The 20,654-nt window shown below is 42.5% G+C and overlaps 4 annotated features.

Annotated features, from left to right (window-relative positions):
• Positions 8,998-9,579: an enhancer, noted in NCBI's record as "H3K4me1 hESC enhancer chr1:168356076-168356657 (GRCh37/hg19 assembly coordinates)". NCBI's record gives its function as "activates a minimal SCP1, AML or CMV promoter by ChIP-STARR-seq in primed H9 embryonic stem cells {active_cell/tissue: H9 hESC(primed)}" and the evidence as "EXISTENCE:reporter gene assay evidence [ECO:0000049][PMID:30033119]".
• Positions 9,404-9,463: an enhancer, noted in NCBI's record as "active region_2060". NCBI's record gives its function as "activates an Ori minimal core promoter by ATAC-STARR-seq in GM12878 lymphoblastoid cells {active_cell/tissue: GM12878}" and the evidence as "EXISTENCE:reporter gene assay evidence [ECO:0000049][PMID:35858748]".
• Positions 9,580-10,160: an enhancer, noted in NCBI's record as "OCT4-NANOG-H3K4me1 hESC enhancer chr1:168356658-168357238 (GRCh37/hg19 assembly coordinates)". NCBI's record gives its function as "activates a minimal SCP1, AML or CMV promoter by ChIP-STARR-seq in naive and primed H9 embryonic stem cells {active_cell/tissue: H9 hESC(naive and primed)}" and the evidence as "EXISTENCE:reporter gene assay evidence [ECO:0000049][PMID:30033119]".
• Positions 10,161-10,742: an enhancer, noted in NCBI's record as "OCT4-NANOG-H3K4me1 hESC enhancer chr1:168357239-168357820 (GRCh37/hg19 assembly coordinates)". NCBI's record gives its function as "activates a minimal SCP1, AML or CMV promoter by ChIP-STARR-seq in naive H9 embryonic stem cells {active_cell/tissue: H9 hESC(naive)}" and the evidence as "EXISTENCE:reporter gene assay evidence [ECO:0000049][PMID:30033119]".

Here is a 20,654-nt window from a genome sequence, read left to right on the forward strand (position 1 = left end):
AAAGTGTGTGGGTTCTGCTAAAAATTTACCCCCAAATGCAAAGTCTCTTTTCTCTTTGCACTCAATTTTAAGGAATTCCATTCAAACATTGGTAAGAGAATACATTACTGCGAAGATGCAACGATGAGGACGGGGCAGCAGAATGGGGACAATGTGGCTGGGGCATGGGGTCAAGTCCAAATGAAGAGGTCAAGCTATTGAGAAAACAATTGAGGGCAAGATTGAGAGAAGTGTGAAGGAAACAAAAGAAGGGGTGAGTTCCAGTGCATGTGTAGAAATGAGGATACAGACTCAGATGATGCTGCACTCACAAATTCTTGGTAGGGAGGGCATCTTGAACCTAAGCACAGCTTGTCCTAGGGTCTAGACATGAAGAATGAGAGAAGGGCCTGCTGGGGATCTTTCAGCATGAGGACATGCTTCTCAACCTCCTCCTGTTCATGGTCTACATAGAGAATGATCGCCATGGTATGCCACATTGAGGTAAACTGAGGGGCTGCTGTCTGCACAGGGGGTCTGGCTCTGCAGCTTTTGACCTTCAGTGCCAGCCCAGCAACCCTGGAGACTTCAGGGGAAGGATATCTCCTGGCACACCAGTGATCTATCTGCAGCATGCTTGTTGGAAAGCTCTGGTTTGGGGAACCTACTTGTCTTCCCCAAGGGAGAGAGAACTGAGCTACACAAGCTTTTTTTGAAGAAGGCAGGTGAATCACGAGGTCAGGAGATCCAGACCATTTTGGCCAACATGGTGAAACCCCGTCTGTACTAAAATTACAAAAATTAGCTGGGTGTGGTGGCACGTGCCTGTAATCACAGCTATTCAGGAGGCCAAAGCAGGAGAATTACTTGAACCAGGGAGTGGGAGGTTGCAGTGAGCTGAGATCGTGCCACTGCACTCCAGCCTGGTGACAGAGCAAGATTCCATCTCAAAAAAAAAAAAAAAAAAAAAAAAAGAAAAATGACTTGGAGGTCAGAGATAAAGGACAATTTTGAGTGTAGCATTCATTCTGCAGGACTCCGTCTAGCCCAGGCCACTGCATGTTAAACAATGTTTATTGGGCTCCTGCAAGTGCCACACTGTGTGCAGTGAACAGAGTGCTCCACTGAATATTGAAGAAGAGGAAACTGTTTTCTGAAATCTCGGAGACAGCCCAGCCCAAAGTTGGGAGGGCTTCTACTGCATTATTGGTCAGACACTGTGGCCCTGGCTGTGGTGGGATGGGAGGCATTGGCACATTTGTAGCTCTGGCACCAGGAGCAGCTTCTTGGGGCTGGCACTGCAGATTCAGAGGAAACAACAGGAGGCTGTGGCCTTGGCCATGCTGAAGGCTTTTCTCCCATGGTGTCCATGGAGACTTTGTGCTTTGGCATCACCTTTGAGTTTCAGAGACCTCAGGCATTGCAGCAGGGGAGAAGAAAAATGGCTGAAGCCACGTGGTGGCCGAGAGTACACTTTGGTGAGCACATATGGAGACATATTTTGGGGATTTCCCCAGTAGATATGTTGACTTAGGAGGGAGGTTGGGATTCTCTAATGATGAGTAAGGGCAGTGTTAAGTAATGCTAAGGAATGAATGTTTGTGCCCTCCTTGTCCCCAAATTCAGATGCTGAAGCCCCAATTCTCAATACGATGGTATTTGGAAATGGGGCTTTTGAGAAGGAAGTATGGTTAGATAATGTTATGAGGGTGGGGCCTAGGTCTGATGGGATTAGTGGCGTTATAAGCAGAGACATCAGAGAACTCGTTCTCTCTCTCCCCACCCACAGGCACTGGGGAAGGGCCACATGACCACACAGTGAAAAGGTGGCTGCCTACAAGCTGAGAGATGAGGCCTCGGAATGAAACCTGCCTGGCTAGTGTTTTGATCTTGGATTTTCCTGCCTCCAGAACAGAAAATAAATTTCTGTTGTTTAAGTCCTGGTCTACGGAATTTTGCTATGGTAAGTAGCCCGAGGGGACTAATACTAATACTAATAATACTAGTAATGGCCAAACCTTGCCATCACTCTTATTTTAACTCCAAAGATGTGCAGCCCAGAGAAACATCTATACATGCTTGAAGGCAAAGCCCATTCTCTAGCAACGGGTATTCTTTAAGCCACAGTACTTATGGTGGGCAACGGGTGTGGGCAGAGCAGACCCTCACGGTACCTCAGCTGGACTCTCTGCTGGGTCCTTACAGATTGTGCTACTTACTTTTCATGACAGCCTACAGAGTGGGTATCATTATCTCCACTTTACAGATGAGGAAAGTGAGATTCAGAGAGTAATTTCCTAGCAAGGATGGTATCCAGATTTGGATGCCTGTCATTTGATTTACACTCAAGTTCCCATTCTCTTGAGCAGAGCTTAAGCTAGGGAGTAGAGAAGCTAGTATTGTATCCAAGAGCTATCTAAATTTGAATTTCATATTCTTTTCACTCTATCACTCTAATTCTCTATACTCTGGGAAGACAGTTTGTTTTTCAACTATTTTAAGTCTCCATTTCATTCTTAAAAGAATCATATTTTACTCTTAAAAATACATAGTTAAATGTTATTAGAAAGTAAGACCTACATTTTCAAGAATTGAGACAAAATGTCTTCCTTGCTTCTCTAATGAAAATTTGGTTTGGATAATTTGTTTTGTTTTGTTTTTTAAGACAGGGTCTTGCTCTGTCACCCAGGCTGGAGTGCAGTGGTGGGATCTTGTCTCACTGCAACCTCTAACTTCTTGGCTTAAACGAGCCTCCCACCTATGGCCTCCTGAGTAGGTACAGGTGTGCACCACCACACCCAGCTAATTTTTATATTTTTTTGTAGAGGGTTTTGCCACGTTGGTCAGGCTGGTCTTGAACTCCTGAGCTGAAGCAATCAGCCCAACTTGGCCTTCCAAAGTGTTGAGATTACAGGTGTGAGCCCTGCCTGGTTTGGATGATTTTTACATGAAAGAAAGGGTCTGGTCAAAGCATTGATATAAGTGGATTGGACTCCCCATTACTTCACTTCTGTCCAAGAAGCTTCCATTTCTTGAGGGCTAGAGAAGGCAAGTTTGGGAAAGCTAGAGGGGGAACTGAAAAACAAGTGACTATATTAAATGCATTTATTGGGCCTAATAGCTGGTGAATTTGGTTGAAATTGAATATAAAATAGAACAATTGTGAGTCAGAGGTTAAATGAAGCCATTTGAAGGGTGTTTCGGGGAGACCATCTTCATCATCATCATTATCAACACTGACAGTTATGTAGCATGCTAAGTACTTTCCATATATTACTGTATTTAATCTTCACAATGGCTCTAAAAGTAGGTACTGTTAATATCCCCATTTAACAGGTGAGGAAACTGAGACTTAGAGATATTGTTTCCCTAGGTCACTGGCTGGTTAACTGTGAAAAATAAGGGATTTTGGTATTGCTGAGTGTTGCCTACATGAGTGGGGGCAATCGTGGTGTTGTGCCATTTGGGGGTGGTTTGATTTTGATTCACTAAGCAGGAAGATGTTAGTGAAGTTTAGGGGCAGAAGGTGATGTGTTTAGAGCAGTGGTTTAGGACAATTAGCCAGCCCTATCCACGATGTATTGAAGCAGGAAGATTGGTGCTCTGAAGACCAGCTAGGAAGGTATTGTGTGATTCAGAGGAGAGGAGATGAGTATTTGAATTGGGTGGTGGCAGGAGGTCTGGTAATGAGGGGATAGATGCAAGAGGCTGTCAAAGGAAGAGGGCATGGTCTCTGGATGAATACTGAAGTTGAAGAAGGATGAAGGACTTGAAGCTGATTTCAGGATTTCAGACTTGAGCAATGAAGGAACTATGAGGCCTTCAGCAGAAGTGGGAAGTGAGCAGGTGGAGCTTGTTTGGTTGGAAGAAGAGGAGTAGAGTAGGTGCCTTGAGCTTTAGTAGAGAATCTCTGGATGGACTTATAGAGCAGGCTGGCAAGAGGTCAGTTTTAGGGGTAGAGATTTGGGCAATACCTGCAAGGTGGTGATAGTTGTAACCTTGGAAGTGTGTGCTTCCAGGCTGGGCTCCTAAAGCCATGGGGTCCAACCTTGAACCATCCCTTGGGGCTTGGCTTGCTCATCTCATCCCTCTATCAGGCCTGTCATCTAGTCCAGGTTGAAACCTAGTATGGGATAGAAAATAACATCCTTCCTCAAGATGCTTTTCTGATATCTTCCACAAGTTTGTCAAAATAACTATACAAATCTAAAATGATTATGAGAAAATGGTGCCCCCTGGAGTTGTGCAATATGCACAACAAGCACCAGCATAGTCATCCTGCATTAGCCCTTATGGTCCAGATATTTTGGCCTCCACATTCACCCCTCCTTCCAAGCTTTCCTGGCTGGGTTTGGCACATTGGCTCTGGACTGGGCACTTCTCAACCAAATCAATGCCACTGGGTTCTCCACTATTATGTGCCTCAGGTATCAGGTTCTGTAGCTGCTTCAGTGTTTCCCTAGCTCTCCCAGCCTCTCACTCTGTCCAAGGTCAAGAGAAAGGAAAGATTGAGATAGTAGAAAGATAGTCAATATCAGGACTTTAGGGATCACCACTCTTATAGGTGGAAGAGACAAAGTGACAAGAACGCAGAAGTTGAATGACTCAGAGCCCCAGTGTTTGGGCTCACAGTTCAGTACTTGTTCTACTGGCCTATGCTTCCTCCATTTTACAAGTCCCAGGCAGCAGTGCTTGATCTTAAAAGCAGCCTTAACATATTATAAAATGCAAAGGCTGTATGTGTGTGGATTTATTTATTTATTCTCTAATAACTATTGTATCACTCAACTTATGTCAAACTAAATTGCAATTTCTGAACTGAGTACTGTCCTCCAGGTCAGTTCTCTTTCTGCCATTCTATACTCAGATGTCTCTTTTGTATGCAAGTACAGATTTTTCTCTGCTTGATTGGTAGACATCTAGAGACCAAGTGCTGCATCTGATTAATTTGTTTTTTATAACACTTAGCATGATGAAGCAGGCAGATAAGTGCTAATAAGGGGTATTGGTGATTCTGTCATCTTCCTGGGAAGAGGTCTAGGTGGCTTCAAACATAGCTATTTGTTAACTTGTAGGTCAGTGGTAAGGATGGGAGCCAACAGGGTGATGGGAGGATAAGGAGTGGAGGGAGGTGGAAAGTTCTGTCTCAGAAAAAGCCATATTATCCACTCCTTTATAGTAGAAAAGCATTGGGAACATAATGGTTAATTTAATATTGGTATGTATGAACATACACATTGTGGCAAATTTCCAAAATTTTCTTTCTGTTAAACCTAACTTTGGTTCGTTACAAAATATCAGGAACACCAAAGACACCTTGAAAGCTAATCAAATTGGCAAGTAGCAAAGCTTTGTAAAAGCAAAAAAGTTGAGGCTAAATTGATTGCTGTTTTGGTAAAATAATAGTTGGTTGTGCTGGATGGGGAGAAGCCAGTATTCTGAGGATTTAGGAAACGAAGTAATAGCATTCCTCCTTCACTTGCTAAGTTTAATGTAATGCTGTCACAGCAAATCAGCTGCTTTTGACTGTTTACCTGGAAGTATTTGAGTAACAATTTGATGATTAAGGCAGATGGTGTAGTGAAACATCCTATGTTATGTTTTCTTATAGGTGATATTCTAAGCATTCAATTTGTCAGTTTCTGAGATTTTCTTTCCATCTTAGTTTTTTAGAAGTCAGAAAATGACTTTTCACATTCAGTTAGGGTATATAACAATGTTAACGTAAGTTTATGAGCTGAGTAGGTAGTTAATAAACATCCTTTTAAGTTGTAATGCTTTGAAATAGCATATTAAAGGGTTGCAAGGGAAAATTGGAACATCAGTGTGAGTTATTTTACAGTCATTTGTAGGTCTGTTTGTGACCTTGGCCTTTTCACACTTGTTTGTCTATCACCTTTAGTATATTACTCTTTGGCACAGGTTGTCTAATCACATTAATTTTTGCATCAAAAATCCCTTGGTTTAGTGATTCTTAATGATGTTTATTTTGGAAAGTCATGGACCTGAATTCTTTGAGTAGTTCATGAAAACCATATACCTTTCCCAGAGAAATGGGGTGCATATAATTTCAGGAAGTTCAAGGTAGGGAAAACAAGCTAAAAATCCCAACTTATTTCATCTCGAGAACTTAAATTGCCAGCTGTATTCTCCTTCTTCCCTTTCCTGAACCCCTTCATTTGCCCCTTCCTAAACCAGCAACTGCACAGAGTGGCGAGTAAGAACACAGCTTATAGTAGCAGATCAATCCGGAGTAAAACAGATACCCACTGACTCTGCTTCAAGAATACTGTGCTAATGAAGGCGAGATACTAAATTTGAACCAAGCCCACTTAAATCATGAATTCATATAACAAATAGCACTTGAGCACCCACTATATTCCCGGCTCTGAAACAGGTCTGAAAATGAACAGTGACTAAGATGTGACTCCCAAGGGGTTCAAGTCCAGTGCTGTAGATCAGCTTAGAAACAATTAGTAAAATACCAGGTCTTGGTTCCTTTACAAGGTCAGATAGCATCTTGAATCCTAACCAAGTCACCTCACAGATGCATAGTTTCTAATAAAAAGGACTGACAAAATTTCATGGGAAATACACCTAAAAAATGTACGTTTTATTAACCACAAGCACCTCTGTACAGATTTGTCTAGACATTTCCAGTGTTGGAATACTTCTGTTGTGTAAGTTCCTGGAAATGGACTTGCTAGATCAAAAGGTTTGAGTATTTAAATTTTTAATAGACAGAACCAAATTGGCTTTCAGAAAAGGTTGTGTCAATTTCCTATAAAATCCCTGTCATTTATGAATGGTAATTCTTGTTCAGTGATTAATTTGCCAAGAAATATTGATATTTCCTTACATGGGCCTCTGTGTAAGTTTTCTTTCACTTCTTTAAAGTCTTACTTGTCTTCTTCTTCTTTTTTTTTCTTTTTTTTTGAGATGGAGTCTCGCCCTGTCACCCAGGCTGGAGTGCAATGGCGCAATCTTGGCTCACTGCAACCTCCGCCTCCTGGGTCTAAACGATTCTCCTGCCTCAGCCTCCTGACTAGCTGGGATTACAGGTGCCCACCACCACGCCCAGCTAATTTTTGCATTGTTAGTAGAGACAGGGTTTCACCATGTTGGCCAGGCTGGTCTCGATATCCTAACCTTGTGATCCCCCCACCTCGGCCTCCCAAAATGCTGGGATTGTCTTACTTGTCTTCTGTGGGAGAATCCTGTCATACAAATGACCTCATCCTCTATTGCATCTCTGATGGATTGTTTTTGGAATCTCACTTGTCCTTGTCCTCCTTGTAGCCTTCCGCCAAATGCTCACCTCCCAGTTTCTCTCCCATCGGCTGTTCTGGGCCTGGTCTCCATTGCTGCTGGCCTGCTTTGTCCCTATTCTCGTCTCCAGCAGCACATCAGGGCCTCTAGGAGTGAAATTTATTGCGCCTTTCTCTAGACCTTTGAAACAAAGAGCATTCCTGTCTTTTCCCTTGCAGGAAGGGAAAGTGGATTTAGCTAAGCATGGATAAGATTCTGGGTTGAGGAGGAGAAAAGGGATAAGGAGGGAAGAGAGAGATAATGTATTTTTCATTTAGCAGTGGCATCAAGCTTTTCAATTTTACTTTGGTCATTAGAGAATTTTTTTCGTTGCGTGTGACTTTTTGTTGATGCTGGCTTGGAAGTGAGAACTCCGTGGCCTGGCCTTCAAGAATCACAAAGGTCAAGGCTACTACCAGCCCACTACCCTCATGCCAGGCATATAAAGTGCTACCATAGGTGCGAGGTTAGACACAAATGGCACCTCTGCATACATTTTTAAAAGCATCAGGTGGAGGCAGTCCTAAGCCTTTTCTTCAGGCGAACTCAACTCGAAGCCAGAATGCCTGGTTTGGTAAGAAAAAGGCAGGTTGTACTTCAGCCCCCACTTACATTCTTGGCTACATGTCTTTGTGCAGTAACCTATGAAACTGCACACAGCAGTCCTCACGGTAGTTTCCATACCTAGCTGCTGCTCTAAGGGTCTCTGTGTCAGTGGCTTCTAGTGTGCTCAGGGAGACACACATATGACCTGAGGACTGAGCAGAGGCCTCAGCCTCAACAAATTCATCTTCCTTCAAACTTCCCTGCCTCGACTGACTGCCCTGTCTGCCTCTTGCCTAATATCTCTCCCGTGCCCTGGAAGCAGCCACATTGAGGTGTTTTGCTGTAATATGTCTTGTTTTAGTTAGAGCAAGTTTTGTGTTCAGCTTTGGTTGATGGCCCAGCTGTGCTGGCACCTCTGAACCCAAGGCATGTGTCATTGGCTTAACCTTGCTGGTGATAAGGCTGTGTAAGTTAATGCTAGCTGCCGTAACAGAGACACTCTGAAATCCCAGCTGCCTACCACAAGAGAATTTTGTTTCTAACTTACAAAGCAACCCAATGGCTGTGTTCAATGGACAGTTGGCCCTCTGTATCATGGGTTCTGTATTTGTGGATTCAACCAACCATAGCTCAAAAATACTTGAAAAAAAAATGGAGAAGAACAATACAGTATAATAACTATTTACATAGCATTTACATTGTATTAGGTATTATAAGTAACCTAGAGATGATTTAACCTATATAGGAGGATATGCATAGGTTACACGCAAATACGATATCATTTTATAAAAGGAACTTGAGGATCCTTGGATTTTGGTATCTGTGGGGATTCTGGAAGCAACCCTTCCTGGATACTGAGGGACACCTGTAGTGATTTAGGGATCAAGGCTCCTTCTATCTCCCTGCTTTGCCATCTTAGCCTGAAGCAGCAGGAGAGAGAGAGGGTGGAGATGGCCTCATTTTGATTTGAGAATGACCTATATCACTTCTGCTCAGAGCCTATTGGTAGGAACTGGTCACATGGGGCCTGAGTGCAGAGGCTGCTGGGAATGCTTCTCCAAAACAGTTTTATAGCATGGAAGGGGATGGCTAAACTTTGGTGGCAGAAGGCTGTCTCCACCACAGGGGCTGAGCTGAAAACGGCATCAGGGTCTCTAGCTTCCTCTTCTCTGCCCAGTGGTTACCCTTTTCTTCCGTGGGGAGAAATCCTTATACTTATTGATTGACGGGCTTTGCCCAGAGATTAAGTTAATTGAGGCTTCAAGTAGGAAGAGAGAGGTGAGGAGAAAGAGGTTTTAACCTTTCTTGATCAGATTTGCCTCTGTTCCTGCCCCACAGAGTGAGCGCAAACCCCTTCCCAGTCTCCCGCTGCTATCCATTTTCTCATTCCTCGGATCCCAAAGCAAAGTCACAGATACATTCGCGTGGGGATCATTCGGGACCCCTCCCTGGTTCCCTGTCCTGGTTTTTTTTTTTTTTTTTTTTTTTGCTGATTTTGCCTTTTAATAAAGGCAGCTTCCTCCCTTCCTGTGTTTGCTGAGGTGGGTGGGAGTGGGAGGACAGCTCTTGGAGTTCTGGAGAAGCTCAGGGAATCAACCAAGTCTGACACAGGCCAGTGAAGCCCGCGGGAGGCGCGGCCGCGTGGCTGCGGAGGTGTGCTTGCTCAGTGACGTCAGGCGCGGCTGCCGTTGCCTCGGCAACCTCACCTGATCCGAATGCCGTGGGCACACACGCTGACTTCTGGGCTCTCTGCTTTAGTGACGAGGAGCTAAAAATGAATCGCACTATCCCGAAAAAGCAACTTAATCATCAGGAGATACTATCAAGTACTCATGCAACCTGTAGGTGGAGACTGCTCAGGGGAGTGGATGATGTTGGAATAACCTGAAGGACACGTGGGGGACCAGGAATTCTTTCTTTTCACATAAGATCTTTATGTCTTTCCAGTTTCCTTTTTCCAAAAGGAAACTGCTAGTTTGCCGTCTAACAGTGCTGTTCAGTTCCACCTGTTTCACATGTAAAGTCTCATTGAATTACGTGGCCCATTACCCGTGAGGGTTCTGGAAATATCACAGAGGTGGGCACCATTAGATGCCAACATGGTAGAGAAGGGGAAATGCCTCCACTCAAAGCCTACAGATCCTCAGCTACCCACGTTCAACAAATGTGTTCTTTTTCCTCTCATGCTTGTTTTTTGAGCCGCTGAGATGTTCGAATGTGCCAATTTGAATTACATGCAAGAAGCAGGTCACAAGAACTAGTGGTTGAGACAGAATTGCTTTAGTGGCCAAACACCTAGGCATTTGCATGACACTGACCCACTGGCTCTACCACTTCCTGGCTGTGTGATCTTGACCCAATTAATTAACATCACTGAGCTTCAGTCTCATTGTAAAATGATAGCAATAGCTACTCCATGGAGTTTTAAGGAATAAGTGACATAATGCATGTAAAGTGCTTCAATAGGTACTCAAATAAATGATGGTTATTTCTCCTCTTTAGAATACTTCTTAAAATGCTTCTGGTCTGGGGCTGACATTTGCACACACTGAGCCTTTGCACACATTAGAAAAAGTGCCTCAGCTGGCATACAAATTCAGCAAAGGTCCTTCCTCCTCCAGCCTAATGCAGGCCTGTGCAGGCTCCCAGAGGCTTTATGGTTTGGCAAAGAAAGAGTAACCTTCACATCAGCATGGAGCAGCCCTGGCTCTGAACTCCTACATCCCTAGTTTCTCTGTAATTTTCCTGGAAGGCAGCTTGGAAGAGTTAAGTCTAATAGAAACATTTAAAAGATTCAAAATACATAAGGGATGGGGAAGATGAAAGTTCTACATAGATCTAACCATCCGAAATCAGGTGTCAGTTCAGCATTGCTGGTTTCCTCTCTCCTCTCACCACAGGCCTGCTTACTCCCAATGGCTACCCTACCTGTTACAAGCTGCAGGCAGCATCAGCAGCTTGTTTTTTTTTTTTTCTTCCTTCTTGTTATTATTATATTTTAAGGTTGGCTTGTTGTGAGCTGGCACTGGATAAGGTGTGACCTTGTTACAGGTGGTGTAGAACTTAGGAGAATTTGATGCCGGCTCCGAAAGCCCCTGCTCAAAGCTGGCTCCTTGGGACTGTTTTCTCCATTGGGGTGCAGCTATGATGAGTATTAGAACCATTCACTCAATATGCATTTGCAGAGCAATATCATACACCACAGCCTGGTCTGAACTCTGGGATCTGACAGGTTGGACATAGTCCCTGTTCACAGGGGACTTGTATTCTAATGTGGGAGAAGAAAGAAAGTGGTCATTTGGTCTTGTATATATATGTACACCTGGGAATCCTTGATTGAATGCTTGGATTTTATATAAGAATAACATCCAGTTAGCATCTGGATGATTATAACTTTCTCCAAAGAGAATTTATCTCTGCTTCTGGCAGGCTGTTAAACTAGGGGTACATCACCTTAATCCTGTTTGGGATTGAGAAGATTCACAGCTGTGTTTCAGTTTTGTGTGAATTTTTCTATTTCTAAGTCACTTTTACTTCAAGGATGTGTCTGCTGAATAATGACTCCCCAAAGACATCCACATCCTAATGCTCAGAATCTGTGAATATGTTGGGATATACAGCGAAGGAAGAAAAGTTGCAGTTGGAGTTAAAGTTGCTAATCAGCTGGCCTTAATATAGAGAATATCCTAGATTTCCGGGGTGGCTCCAACATAATCACACGGGCCCTTAAAACTGGAAGAGGGAGGCGGAGGAGGAGGTCAGAATGATGGACTGTGACGAGAACTCCATCTGGGCTTGCTGGCTTTGAAGATGGAGGAAGAGGGCCACCAGCTGAGGAATACAAGTGGCTTCTGCAAATTGGAAAAGGCAAGGAAACAGATTCTCCCCTAGAGCCTCCAGAGGGAAAGCTGCCACCTTGACTGGAGCTCAGTGAGATTATCGTCAGACTTCTAACCTACAGAGCTATAGGTTAGCACCATACCTTTGTGTGGTTTTAAGCCATTACATTTGTGGTAATTTGTTGCAATAGGATACTAATGTAAGGGGTCCCTGCTGAAAGTCTTGAGTGTTTCTGAGAGCATCCTCTTGGTGGGTCCTGAACTCCAAGTTTTGTTTCCGTATCTCTGTGAGACTGCTAAAATCCTTCCCTTTTACCCAATGGTTTCTGCTTGCTGCTTACAAATCAGCAACTGCTTGGAGTGCAAGAGCTGTCCAGAATTCAGAATCACTTCTCTGCATTTCCTTTCTTTTAGGAATCAGTTCCCTCAGGTTTGGGCTGCCTTGGTAGCCCTGAATTCAAATATATGTCTCTCCAGCCATGTGGCACTTACCAGCTTCTCAGTGTGTAGCCTCAGGCTGCTTATGAATGAACAGATATATATGCAATAAATAATTGTGAGCTATTTGTTGCCGTTATCATTAATTGAGTTTAGGAAATCCTGGCTCAGCCTAATGGCTTTGGGCGAGTCATTGCCCTTCTCTGGGCTTCTTTTCGTTCATCTATATAATGAGGGTTTCAGATTAGATTATCTCCAGGTTCTTTTCCAGCTCTTGCTATCTGCAATTCTGGGGTGACCTCTATGTGCAGGAGAGCACTGTGTGGACTGGTTTTGTGAGGGTCTAAAAGGTGGAGTCCCTGTGGAGAAAAGGGAACTCTTGCAGACTGTTGGTAAGAATGTAGATTAGTATAGCTGTTATGGAAAACAGTATGAAAGTTTCAAAATAAATTAAGAATAGGAACTACCATACAACCTGGCAATCCCTCTGCTGGGCATACACCCAAGAAAAATGAAATCACCTTGTAAAGATATCTGCACTCTCATGTTCATCGAAGAATTATTCATAATAGCCAAGATATGGAAACAACCTGAGTGTCTGTTGATGGATGAATAGATAAAGAAACTGTGGTACATTATTACAATGGAGTGCTATTCAGTCCTAAAAAAGAATGAGATCTTGCCCGTTGCTACAAAATGGATGAGCTTGCAGGACATTATGCTAAATGAAATGAGCCAGATACAGGAAGAAAAATATTGCATGATCTCACTTATATGTGGATTCTAAAAAAATTTCTAATATACTGAGATAGAGAAAAAACAGAGGTTACTGGGGGTGGGATGGGGGGAGGAAACGGTGAAGTATAGGTCAGAGGATACAAAGTAGCAGATATTTAGGATGAACAAGTCTAAAGAGATACTATACAACATGAGGACTATAGGCAATAAAATTTCATTGTAAATAGGATTCACACTAAATGAGTAGATTTTAGCTGGCTCCCCCCAAAATAGGTAACTGAGATGATGAAAATGTTAATTTGCTTCACTATAGTAATCTTTTTACTATCTATACGTATTCCATAACATCATCTTATGTATCTTTTTTTTTTTTTGAGATGGAGTCTCGCTTTGTCACCCAGGCTAGAGTGCAGTGGTGCGATCTTGGCTCACCACAGCCTCCGCCTCCCTGGTTCAAGCGATTCTCCTGCTTCAGCCTCCCAAGTAGCTGTGATTACAGGCGTGCGCCACCACACTCAGCTAATTTTTGTATTTTTTTAGAAGAGATAGGGTTTCACCATGTTGGCCAAGCTGGTCTCGAACTCCTGACCTCAGGTGATCTGTTTGCCTTGGCCTCCCAAAGTGTTGGGATTACAGGCGTGAGCCACAGTGCCTGGCACTGTTATATATCTTAAATATACAAAATGAATTTTTTTCTTCCTGGGCCTTTTTACACAATGAAATTTACTTGAAAGTGAAAAAAATGGTGAAGTCCTTGCCCACAAGGTGATCCCAGTATCCTTATTATATTGATGAAATAGGCCTATTTATGCAGAAAAAAAATTAGAGAACCAAATAGCATATCATCAAATGATGAGACGATACAGAGCAGGCAGAGAGCAAGATTTCAATTTTGATCTAATGAAATGACACAGCCAAATATTATGAGCTCTTGTCTCTAGAAAAATAGCAACCATAAGCCTTAATACTTTCATGTCAGCACAGTTTGGTTAATTAATCCATGATTAATCAGGAAAGTTAATTGAATTCACAGAATTTAACGAACTAACATCATGATGGATTTAGGATCCCAATGGAGTTGCAAGCTTTCTAACATTGGTTATTTGCACAAGCTGTGATTTTGACCTGACGATTGAGGTTCTTGTAAGCAGTGTGGCAGTTAAATGGATGGCAGTGGGTTCCAGATTAAATAGGATGGCATTAGGTGGTATTTTGCAGGCTCTGCAGTTCAGTTTGCTTTCTGGGAAGGGAGTCAAGAAAAAACCAATAAAAGCCCTTGATTATGTAAGCATTAGACCAAAGCAAGGACTCCTCAGAGAGTTCTAATTCTTATCGTCTTTGCCTCCTCAGTGCCCTAGTGCATTGCTTGGCACATAGTAGATAATTAGCTAACTAACTGAATGAATGCATGCATGAATAAATAAACAAACGATTTCTCCATCCATCTCTGAAATACATATTCAATAAATTACCCTGTTCCAGGAACTAAGGTAGGTACTGTATCTAAAAGGTGACTAATAAGCCCTAGTCCCCGCCCTGGGAGAGTGCCCAGTTTCATCAGGGTAGCTGTCTTCCAACAAGTAATTGCATACAATTTGACGTAGTATCAGGTCAGTGACTAGAATGGGAAGGACAGAGAGAAGGATCTGAGGGAGGCTTTCACAGAGGAAGTCACACTTGATCTAGATCTTCATGTGCGAATAGATGTTTGCCAGAAAGAGAACTGGGGAAACCATAGTCCACAGAGAAGGATGGCGTTACTGTTAGGAGGTGCAAAAGCAGAGAGCCTTTGAGGAATGCTGAGTGGCTTTGTGCAGCAAGAACGTGGGAGGAAGCAGAGGGTGGAACCAGAAGGAGGATTGGAGCAAGTTTGAAAAAAGGAGCCGAGAATGCCAGTTTAGGGAGCCTCAACTTTATCTGGACCTAAAAGGGAGTCTTTGGAGGATTTTCAGTATGTGAGTGACATGGTCAGATTCATGTTGTAGGAAGGAATTCTTGTAAGTCGACTCAGGTGGGTTGGAGGAGAGAGAGACTCACTGCAGACTCTGGTTAACAGTTGGTATAGACAGGCACAGTAAGACGGCAGCAGGTTGGGTGGGGAGGATAGGTGGCCGTGGTGGGAGGAGGATAGAAGGGCACAAGCTCTGGTCAAGTTAATTTCTCTGAGCATCCTTTAATCTGTAAAATGGGAAAAAATAATTCCTGTCTCATAGGGTTGAGATTTTGATGAGAAATTGCATGCAAAACTCTAAGTATTTATTACCTGGCTTGTAATAAGAACTTAGTAGATATTAGCTGTTTATGATTCACCTGGAGAACAATTATAAGAGCCCCAACTAAGGCAGTAGCTATAGGGATGGAGCTCAGGGATGAAAATGAGAGACATTTAGGAGGTTGACTAGAATGCTGAGTCATGTTGTTGCCCCTGGAGCTGAAGGCAGTTTTATGCTGACATTTGCTGCTACACAGTCGGCTCTGCTGGCTTCATTATAAACTTCCCATGAGGCCCTGGGTCATTTGACCTTGGGCCATCCTGGGCTGTCAGGTAGAGCCCACAAAACTAAGTCAGCCTCCATCAAGAGAGGCCCCGCTCTGGTTGACAGCAGCTGTACCTGAGCATCATTGCTCCTGTCCTGGCAGGAGCCCAGGGCATGTCTTGCCTATGTGCTGTGATGCATGGTGATCAGCTTCACTCCTGAGCAGCAGAGCCACATGGGCCCTCCATGTGGAGCAGCAGACGTGATCTGCATTGAGAAGGAGGCTCAGGTGCAGATAGCAGCTTCTGTGAGCCCCAAGTAGGTGCTACTCACCGGGAGAGACTTGAGGGGTGCCGGGAAGGACCTCTGCCCACTGACTTTTCTCTTGGTCTGAAGCCCTGCTGTTAGGAACCTAATCGTTTGTATTTAAATGCTCTTTGTCTTCCACTGAATGCAAATACCCCAAGGAAAGGTAGTATATTCATTAAGGGAAGGGATAATAATGGTAACAGAAATAATAATAATATTGTGACATCAAATATTTATGGAGAACTGTTTAGTATCACTAAACACCATGATGGGCACCTTCTATGCATTGCCTCATTTGATTGTCTGACAGTCCTATTAGGTGAATATTATTACACATGCAGAAATGAGAACTGTGAGAAGTTAAGAAACTTGATTAAAAACACACAGCATGCCATGCATCATTGAGAGCACTGTGATAGAGAGACCGAGAACTAGGGCAAGAGTGAGAGTGAGAGCTGGAGAGAGGCAGATGTTGGGTATGGGATGTTGAGTAGGTGTCCCTGCAGGGGAGAAAAAAGGAGAATGGAAGGTAAAGGAGTAGCTAAATTCTGGCCAGGACTGGTTCTGCTTACTTCATAATCATTAAATTTACAGATTTGCTTCCCTCCATGCCACTGGTGCTATCTTAGTTTGGAGGCACAGAGATGATCACAGAGCTCCTAAGATGGGTTGGGTTAAAGACTCTAGAGAGGACTAGCTTGACTGTCTAAGAGATTCAACTTTCTCTAAGTCTGTCCAACCACAGTCAGAGAGAGCAAAAATCCCTCAAGATCCAGGACTGGGGATTAATAGTTTTTGCATTCCCTATGCAAGGCACAGGGCATGGCACTCAGTAGGTGCTCAATAGATGTTGACCTTAAAACATTACCTAAGGAGTCCCACCAGAACTCAGGTTTGTTCACCTCAGAACCCTGCACACCCCTCTGACTGCTCTCTCTGTTTCCAGTGATAAAGGAATCAGAGCTTCTTTACTTACGCATTCAGGAGGGACCACAGGAGAATCAAATGGAATTGAACTGCATTGTTTATTAATGATCGCTCATCTGAACTATTTAAAATTTTAATCCTAAATTCTAAGTTTTCAATCAGAAGTGGGCAGAGAAGACACCGATGGACAAGGCAACTAGCCTGTTCTTCAGGGTTGTGGTAACACATGTATCTCAGACACAGGGTCAGAATGGCTTGATGGTCTCCAAGAGGTATAGCATCCTAGCAGTAAACTGTATATAAACTGTAAAGGTAACATGGGCAGCTCCAAAATGACACTGGAGAGAGCACTGGAAGTTAGGAGGTCCTGGTTTTGCCACTAGTTGTGTGACCTTGGATATCATGTTCCCTCTTTGGGCCTCAATTTGCTCATTTGTAAAATTGGGATATTGGATTTGATGAGTAGTTTTCAAACTGCATTGAGATTTGGAGTTTTGATAGTTTTACAATCTATTCCAACTCAAACCTGTTACATTTGGCTTCTGCCCTCCCTATTGCACTGAAATGGAGTCACCAATGCTCTGCAAAATAAAGAGCACTTTTTATTCTCTGCATTCTTTCTGGGAACCATTTTCTTTTCCTTCCTTCCTTCCTTCCTCCCTTCCTTCTTTCCTTCCTTCCTTCCTCCCTTCCTTCCTCTTTCTTTTCTTTTCTCTTTTCTTCTTTTCTTTTCTTTTCTTTCATCTTTTTCCTTTTTTTTTTTTGGCAAGGTCTTGCTCTGTCACCCAGGCTGGAGTGCAGTGGCATAACCACAGATCACTTTAGCCTTGAACTCCTGGACTCAAGCGATGTGATTCTCCCACCTCAGCCTCCAGAGTATTTCAGAACACAGGTGTGCACCACCACATCTGGCTAATTTTTAAAATTATCTGTAGAGACGAGGGTCTCCCTATGTTATCCAGGATGGTCTTGAACTCCTGGGCCCAAGTAATTGTCCCGCCTCTGCCTTCCAAAGTGCTGGAATTGCAGGCAAGAGTCACTGTGCCTGGCCCTGTGTAGACCATTTTCTTCCAGAAGTTCTTTTTCCTTTTGACTTCCCAGATCATCTTGAAGCCACTATCTTTAAAGTCCTAATATTTTAATGGTAATGAACTTAGGCCATTTATATTTAATAAAATTTGTAGTTTCCTTAGGAAAATGCCCATATAAATTAATCACATAAATGAATGGAAACACACATACAAAAATACGTGGGAGAATGTGTTTTATGTTACAAAAATGTGATTTATACTCAACTTTCTAAAGCACAATTATAAAGTAAGGAAAAGTGCATAGCTTTAAGGAAGTAAGCAAATTTATTAATAGATTTTAATATTGAAAAAATAAAGCAACTTGAGAATATTTTGCTCCTTCTTTAGGAGGTGCAAATGGTTGCCACTGGAAACCATTCTTGCACTGTTCACAGATTGGACAATGATGCATCTAATTAGAACAAGAGTGTAACGGAGAGTGTTTTCCAAATTGTGGGTCAGGTATAAATAATTAGAGGAGACGTTGGCAGGCTTATTATTTGTGTCTAGCTTAATTTTCTTCAGATACATGTTCATATGCAAGACTGCATTAAGATCAGACTTAATTTTCACTTAATCCATCAAATAATTTTTCTTAAGCTCAATCAAGCAATGGTACAGTGATTGAAAGAAGCAAATTGTTCATATACTCCAACATGGCTTCATGTATCATTATTACAATTGATGTCATGACTTATTCCTGGAAAAATATTAAATAGCTATCATCCTGGCCTCATAATTGAGGGGATGGGTGATTTAAAAAAATTTAAAAGATATCTGACTTGATTTGTAAGTAATTTTGACCCATAACATAATTAGGGGCCAAGCTATAAACCATGCATAAATACATGGAATACATTTTGGCGAAAACAAAATTAAGATTAAGATTGTCATTATGAATCTCTTAAGTGGAGAAAGAGAAAGTCATTAAAGATTCCACATAGTTTTCTCTTCCTGGTTGCTTAGTGTTAGCACTCAATCAGATTCATTGAAAAAAGTAGTCCTATGCTGAAATAAGAGTGTTGAAAGAATGTGTGGATGTATTTTAGTGCTGATACCCAGTTACTATTCTAGGTCTATCACTACGATAACTTTTAGCAGTTGTCATGTGTTCTTAGGCAAATCTGCTAACTTCTTTGAGCCCCAGTGTCTTCACCTGTAAAAGAAGAACAATACTAGCAATCACACCCACATCATAGGCCCACTGGAGGCGTAATGACTTTATATATGGAAAACTCCTACCACAGTGCCTGCAACTTGGTAGGTCCCCACTCAATCCAGCTCCCACAAATGTAAACAAGCAAACACATGTGGAAAACACATGGGCTCAGGCACAGAAGGACAAATATGACTTTCATGTAGGCATGAAGATTGTCTCATGGGTCATAGAGCAATGAAGACAACCTAAAGAAAAGGAATGGCTCAGGCAAGCAAGTGGACTATTTCGTAGAAACCACTTGAGGCAAAATTCTTCATTTTTGGTGATCATTACTATGCTCATTTTATATGCTTGTTGGTTGCTAGTCAGCCATGACATCTCATAAGAGTTTCTAAAAAGGAGTAGATTAAAATTTATAATATTGTTTCTTCCAATTACTCATCCCCACTTAGCCTGCAGGAATAGCTGATAAGGATCTTTTGTAAACTGGTTTCTCAGAATCACGTTCATAAAGCTATAATTTAAAGCCTTTTCATTCTGTGGAATGTGATCCAATGTTATTTCTTTGTGGAGTGGAAAGTGGTAGGTGGAGAGTGGTTGGAGACTGAGGGGATCAGGGCAAGGAGAGTGAGAGTAAAATTTGGTATAAATATATGTCACCATCTTCTAAATTAAGTATAACATTTGGTCTCTTTCTTAGATATACAAGTTGTCTCTGAAATATTGGAACATTTTCCTCTTATTGAAGGTTCTGAGAAAAGATTCCTGAGTTTCCCCAGGGCAGGATCTGCCTACAAGTAGCTGACAAGGTGGATGAGTGATTTGCCAGCTTGAGGCTTCCCGGGGACTGCTCTGAGAATTGGAGGGGGCCCAGAGCCAACTTAGGGTGTGGTTCTAGGCATGGGGCCATTCATACTGGGAGCACCCGGGATGCTCTTTTCTAGAGAGCATCTGGGTAAGAGTGGTGGTGGCATCTGAGCACCAGTGTGCAAGTCCTAGCTCTGACAAGTGAATGATTTCAGGGAAGTCACTTAACCTTTTTGTTTCTGATTTTCTGTGTCTGAAATGTGCAGATTATGGTATCTGTCCTGCTTATCAGAAAACACTGTTTTGAAGAGCAAATTGTATAATGTATATAAAGATACCTGGAAAACAAGAAAGCTTAGTACAAATACAAACCATTCCAGGCTAAAATGGAGATTCTGCGCTGCTTGAAGGAGGAAGGTGTGTTGGAAATGGTACCAACAGGGCTATCCTGATAAGTGGAGGGGTGTGGCAAACCGAGAGACAATATGGAGTGGTGGCTTTTAGCCACCTGAGGTTGAATCCTGATGCTACCACTTACGGCATGCACATCAGGATCATGTTATTTAACCTCTCTTAGTCTCAGTTTCATCATCTGTATAATGGGAATTATCAAATATTTACTACCTGGGTTGCTGTGAAAATGAAATGAGAAAATACATGTAACGTGCTTGCCATGTTGTAAGCCCTTAGTGAATATTAGCAACATATAAATAGACATAACAGCTCTTCTAGTTTTGTGCTATGGGCTGATTTCATGTATATGACACTTGTTTTTTTTTTTTTTTTACACAAGACCTTTCCCAAGTTCTTTGTGCCCTACATAGGGGAGGTAAAATGAGGGAAATCACAAAAATTGTGACAATTTCTAGATTAGACATAGTGTAGGTGTTGTCATGTCTGCAGTGTAGAAGTCACCTTGGAAAGAGTTTGCTCATATTTCTTAAACATTTTTTAGGGTTGTCTTAGAGATGATCCAAGAACATTTTCTTTCATTCATTCAACAAACTTTTACTGAGCACTCAGTGTGCGTAGGATGAGCTAGGCTAGGAGATAAGGA

Source organism: Homo sapiens, chromosome 1, assembly GCF_000001405.40.
Source record: "Homo sapiens chromosome 1, GRCh38.p14 Primary Assembly".
Lineage (NCBI taxonomy): Eukaryota > Metazoa > Chordata > Mammalia > Primates > Hominidae > Homo > Homo sapiens.